This window comes from Homo sapiens, chromosome 5 (assembly GCF_000001405.40).
Source record: "Homo sapiens chromosome 5, GRCh38.p14 Primary Assembly".
In the NCBI taxonomy this organism is placed as follows: Eukaryota; Metazoa; Chordata; class Mammalia; order Primates; family Hominidae; genus Homo; species Homo sapiens.
Window position 1 is genome coordinate 175,559,139 of NC_000005.10, and position 5,955 is coordinate 175,565,093.

General features: G+C 40.6%; 1 annotated feature.

The window, feature by feature from the left end:
• Window positions 1,879-2,497: an enhancer, noted in NCBI's record as "OCT4-NANOG-H3K27ac-H3K4me1 hESC enhancer chr5:174988020-174988638 (GRCh37/hg19 assembly coordinates)". NCBI's record gives its function as "activates a minimal SCP1, AML or CMV promoter by ChIP-STARR-seq in primed H9 embryonic stem cells {active_cell/tissue: H9 hESC(primed)}" and the evidence as "EXISTENCE:reporter gene assay evidence [ECO:0000049][PMID:30033119]".

Consider the following 5,955-nt stretch of genomic DNA (forward strand, 5'->3'; position numbering starts at 1 on the left):
GTCTTAAAGAGGAGAGAAACAATTTTGGAAACTGGCAAATGAAACATTCTTAATGAACGCTCTAAGATCTGCTTCTATCTGCATGTTTATGTATGTCTATATATGTATGTGTGTTATGTATATGTAATTTTTTTAAATTTATTTATTTATTTATTTATTTATTTATTTATTTATTTATTTATTTATTTTGAGATGGAGTCTTCGCTCTGTCACCAGGCTGGAGTGCAGTGGTGCGATCTCAGCTCACTGCAACCTCCACCTCCCGGATTCCAAAGATTCCCTGCCTCAGCCTCCTGAGTCCCAGCCTGTAGCTGGGACTGCAGTCACGTGCCACCATGACTGGCTAATTTTTGTATTTTTAGTAAAGGCCGAGTTTCACCATGTTGGCCAGGATGGTCTCCATCTCTTGACCTTGTGATCCACCCACCTTGGCCTCCCAAAGTGCTGGGATTACAGGCGTGAGCCACCGCGCCCGACCTGTATATGTAATATTTTTTACCTTGAATGATATTGTAACTACGCAGCAGATTATCCTTGCCTGCTGCCTAGACAGAGCCAATTTGTCAAGACAGAATTGCAATAGAGAAAGAGCTTAATTTATGCAGAGCCTGCTGTATGGAAAACTGGCATTTTATTATTACTCAAATCAGTCTCTCTGAGAATTTGGGGACTGGGGTTTTTAAGGATAATTTGGTGGGTAGGGGCCAGTGAGTCGCGAGTGCTGACTGGCTGGGTTAGAGATGAAATCATAGGGAGTTGAAGTTGTCCTCTTGTGCTGAGTCAGTTTGGGTGGGATTCACAAGACCAGATGAGCCAGTTTATCAATCTTGATGGTGCCAGCTGATCCATCAAGTGCGGGGCGGCGGGGTGGGGGGTGCTGCAAAATATCTCAAGTACTGATCTTAGGTTTTACAACAGTGATATTATCCCCAGGAGCAATTTGGGAGGTCAGAATCTTACAGCCTCCAGGGGCATGACTTCTAAACCCACAGTTTCTAATCTTGTGGCTAATTTGTCAGTCCTATAAAGCAGTCTAGTTCCTGGGCAGGAAGGGAGTTTGTTTTGAGAAAGGGCTGTTACCGTCTTTGTTTCAAAGTTAAACTAAAAGTTCCTCCCAAAGTTAGTTTGGCCTGCACCTGCACCCAGGAATGAACAAGGGCAGCTTCAAGGTTAGAAGCAAGGTGGAGCTGGTTAGGTCAGATCCCTTTCACCACTATAATTCTCTCTGTTATAATTTTGCAGTGGCGGTTTCAATCTTTTCAAAATGTATAAAGAACTCTATTTAATTGACATAAAGAAAAAAATAAACACTTAGATAAGTATTCCCTCAGAAAAATAGAAACTAACTCAATTCAGTTTTAGTTCATGTAATCTGAGATAATCATTGGTAAATAAAGCTAGTTTTGAAATTGTTGGTAAAATAAAAACAGGAATATATTTAAAATTGTCAGCATTAGTAAGGCTGGGCATGGTGGCTCACACCTGTAATCCCAGCACTTTGGGAGGCCGAGGCGGGTGGATCACCTAAGGTCAGGAGTTCGAGAACAGCCTGGCCAACATGGAGAAACCCCGTCTCTACTAAAAATACCAAAAATTAGCCAGGCATAGTGGCAGGCGCCTGTATCCCAGCTACTCAGGAGGTTGAGACGGGAGAATCGCTTGAACCCAGGAGGCAGAGGTTGCAGTGAGCCAAGGTCGGACCATTGCACTCCAGCCTGGGCAAGAAGAGCGAAACTCCGTCTCAAAAAAAAAAAAGAAAGAAAGAAAGAAAAAAAAAATTGTCAGCATTAGTAATAATGCAAACATACTTTTTTAAACCTAGATTTACTTCTCAAACAAGCATGTTATCTCCTAGATGTTTAAGGCTATAAAACTAACATTGTTATGTTTAAAGTTTCAACCCAAGAGCAGAATGCCTCATGAAAATAAATTGCTTGGCTGAACTCAGTGGCTCATACCTATAATCCGAATACTTGGGGAGGTCAAGGTGGGAGGACCGCTTGAGTCCAGGAGTTGAAGACCAGCCTGGGCAACATAGGAGACCCTGTTACAGGTAGTTAGACAGGCATGAGCAGGGCTGGAGAGGGCTCTCCCCCCACCCACTAGGAATGTCAAGTGATGGTTCGGCAGTCACCACATTTGCCTCTCTAAAAGTGGTCAATTGAAAGCTGATGCAAGGGAGAGACCATTTCCTGATGGTCCACACCTGTTGCACTAAAATGTTAATTGAATGCAGATGCTAGGAAGAAGCAACTGCCCGGGTATGCTCGTTAAGAGACCAAATGGCAGAGCATAACCTTCTGGGGACACTCCACCAGAAAAGGGAAGAAAGCCTCAGATGGGCATGCGTACAACCTCCTAAACACACTGCACTTGCTCACCTCACAAGAATAACGAGGGCACTGTGCATGTGGCAGGCCACCCTAAGGGAATGATCACGGGAAAGGGACCAGCCCGGAAAGTCCTAGGATCAAGGTTCAATATCACAGTTGACCTCGGTGCCCACTTGGAACTCTTCAAAGCATACTTTCCTTTCTTTCCTGTTCTAGAGACTTTTAAAATAGACTTCCACTCCTGCTCTGAAACTTGCCTCGGTCTTTTTTTCTGCCTCAGTCAGTCTTTCTTCTGAGAAGCCAAGAATTGAGGTTGCTGCAGATCCCTGTGGTAACTCGGACACATTCCACCAGTAACAACCCCATCTCTACAAAATGTTAAAAAATAAATTAGCCAGGCACGGTGGTGCACACATGAGGTCCTAGCTGCTCAGGAAGCTGAGGTGGGAGGATCCCTTGAGCCCAGGAGGTCAAGGCTGCAGTGGACCATGATCGCACCACTGCACTCTATCCTAAGCGGCAGAGTGAGACCCTGTCTGAAAAAAAAAAAGAAGAAGAAAGGAAGAAAGAAAATTAATTGCTTGATGCATGTCAGTCATGGAAGTAAAAAGGAGAGAAAAACTATATTTAACTTTTTAGTTTCTTTGCTTCTGTGATATTTTTGATACTATGTCAAGAAATAACTTAAGATGATGGCTAGCCTTGTTTTCCATGAGCAATTCAAACAGAAATGTTAAGAACAAGTAAACTGGATAAATGCAAATGGGATAAATGTTTATAAATAAACTTTTTATGGTTTCACATTTTTTTCAGAAACTTGAAACCTTAAAGTTATGTTATATTAAGTAATAGATATTTATGAAATGTCTGAGTCATTTCTATAGAAGTTAAAATGTTGAAACATTAATTGCTGAACATCAGTTAAAGTATACATACTTTGGTATCTTGTTTTTACATGGTATAGAGAAGCTAAATATATTTGGAGCTATTAATAAACAGAAATTGATGAAACCTATGTTTCTAAAAATTATGAGATGGTACTCATCTACAAAATGCTGACATAAATTGTTCAAAATTGCTTACCTAGAAATTAAGGTCACTACAAGTGAAAAATTCTAATTAGTATATTGTAATTATAACTAAAAATAGTAAGGGAAACAACTCCTTATGCAAAGAAAGTAATAAGTGAAACTTACATGAAAGATGTGTTTATATTAAAGGAAAAGGAGTAAATTTCATCCTAAAGTAGAATGACTGGTTGTCCCAACGTAAGAAACAATAAAAGAACAGGGCAAATAACTGAAGAGATATAAGAAGGTTGTAGAAGTTTGTGGAAGATGAATCTTGGGAAAAGAATCTTACGTGTGATCAAATTGGGTAAAATTAGAAGGGAATTAGTTATAAGTTTTTCTAAAAACTGAGCATTAGTATTAAAAGTACACTGATGCAAAACTACAATTTGGTTCTCTCTGTTATAACAACAAAGTTTTCTTGGAGTTTTAGATAAAACTAAATAGGAAATAGTAATAGGAAATAGTAAAAAGTTTTTCTTTACATTTTTAAGTAATTATTCCAGGAGACAAAGTTTTTGTGTTTTATCAAAATTCCCTGTGCTTCATGTTGGCTTTATTAGATCTTGGTCACTTAAGAAAACTGAGTTATCTAATTCCATGAAAGGGTCAAATCATACATGCAAAGTAGCCCCCAAATGCCAAAAGAGCCAATAAACCAAAAGAGGCAGAAAAATCCAGTTTGTCAGTTTGGGGTGATTTATGAGGGGAACTTACAGACAGAAGTGTGGTTTTGGGCAGCTGTGAGACAGGTAGATCTCCATACCACAATCCCCCGGACTCAGGTATCTTGGAGAAAAAGCATGCATGCTCCGGAAGGGACGTGTAGGTGGCTACAGATGTCACAGCCTGCGATTTCTGCCACAACAAGGGTGGTTTTGAAGGAAATTTACAAGGAATAGGTGTTCCTACATAAAGAATAATGTAGCCGGGGCGTGGTGGTGGATGCCTTTAATCCCAGCTACTAGGGAGGCTGAGACAGGAGAATTGCTTGGACCCAGGAGGCGGAGGTTGCAGTGAGCCGAGATTGCATGCCATTGCACTCCAGCCTGGGCAACGGAGCAAGACTCCCTCTCAAAAAAGAAGAAGAATGTGCCCACTAGACATTTTGGAGGCATTCCCTAGATTTAGGGTAGCCAGGAGGATTAAGCTTTAAATTAAAGTCATTCTTGTCCTCATACCTCTCTATTAAAGAGCTAAGGTTTTATCTATAACTATGTAACTTTCTGTATTTGCCTTTGAGTCTTAATTATCACCCTGGTTAAGGAAATAACTAATATTTCGTAGCTACCTGTGATCCTATTTTGAGCAAGTGTTTTTGTTTTTTTTTTTTGTGACGGAGTCTCGCTCTGTCACCCAGGCTGAAGTGCAGTGGCGTGATCTCGGCTCACTGCAACCTCAGCCTCCCGGGTTCAAGCAATTCTCCTGCCTCAGCCTCCATAGCAGCTGGGACTACAGGTGCCCACCACCATGCCCAGCTAATTTTTGTATTCTTAGTGGAGACAGGGTTTCACCATGTTGGCCAGGCTGGTCTTGAACTCCTGACCTTGTGATCTGCCCGCCTTGGCCTCCCAAAGTGCTGGGATTACAGGGGTGAGCCACCACCTCCAGCCCTTTTTTATTTTTATTATTTATTTATTTATTTATTTGAGATGGAGTTTCACTCTTGTTGCCCAGGCTGGAGTGCAATGACGCGATCTCAGCTCACCGCAACCTCCACCTCCCAGGTTCAAGCAATTCTCCTGCCTCAGCCTCCCAAGTAGCTGGGATTACAGGCATGCACCACCACACCCGGCTAATTTTGTATTTTTAGTAGGGACGGGGTTTCTCCATGTTGGTCAGGCTGGTCTCGAACTCCCGACCTCAGGTGATCTGCCCACCTCGGTCTCCCAAAGTGCTGGGATTACAGGTGTGAGCCACCATGCCCAGCTTCAAGTGTTTTAAATCTTTGATATTTTTGACAAACTTCCCAAAATCAAATTCTAAATTATGTCTTCTAAGATATATATTAAACTAATAGGCTTATTTAATATGTTAATTATATGGAAAGCGCTGTCAAATAAGAAGTAATATTTAATCTTCTTGGAGTTTTGCTTAGCCATTTGCATGGCTATGTTATTAGTATATTGCATAGCCATTTGCATGGCTATGTTATTAGTATATGTTCCCCGAATTGTACAAAATTCCTAGAGATTTGCTATTAGTCATAATTTTAGTTATTATTTTAAAATACTTGCCACAGAAATAACATTTTCTTGTAAGTTGTGTCATTATTATAATGAACTCTCATCAAATCTTTAACAAAGGTCATTTTAAGTCTTGTGGTTGACAGTTAATTTGCTTATTCTAATTCTTTTCTGAAAGCTTTTTGCAAGCAACTACAATCCTAAAGTGTGTGGCTTCAGCTCTGACAAGTACAAGTTTCTGATAACTTTTAGATCATATCATTAAACTGAGTAAGGATTTCCAGAAATCTAATGAAGAAACTCGTGGGTTTATGGAAGTGCTAACCAGGATCAAATAGACCAGACCAAACCAAAATGGAGTCATGT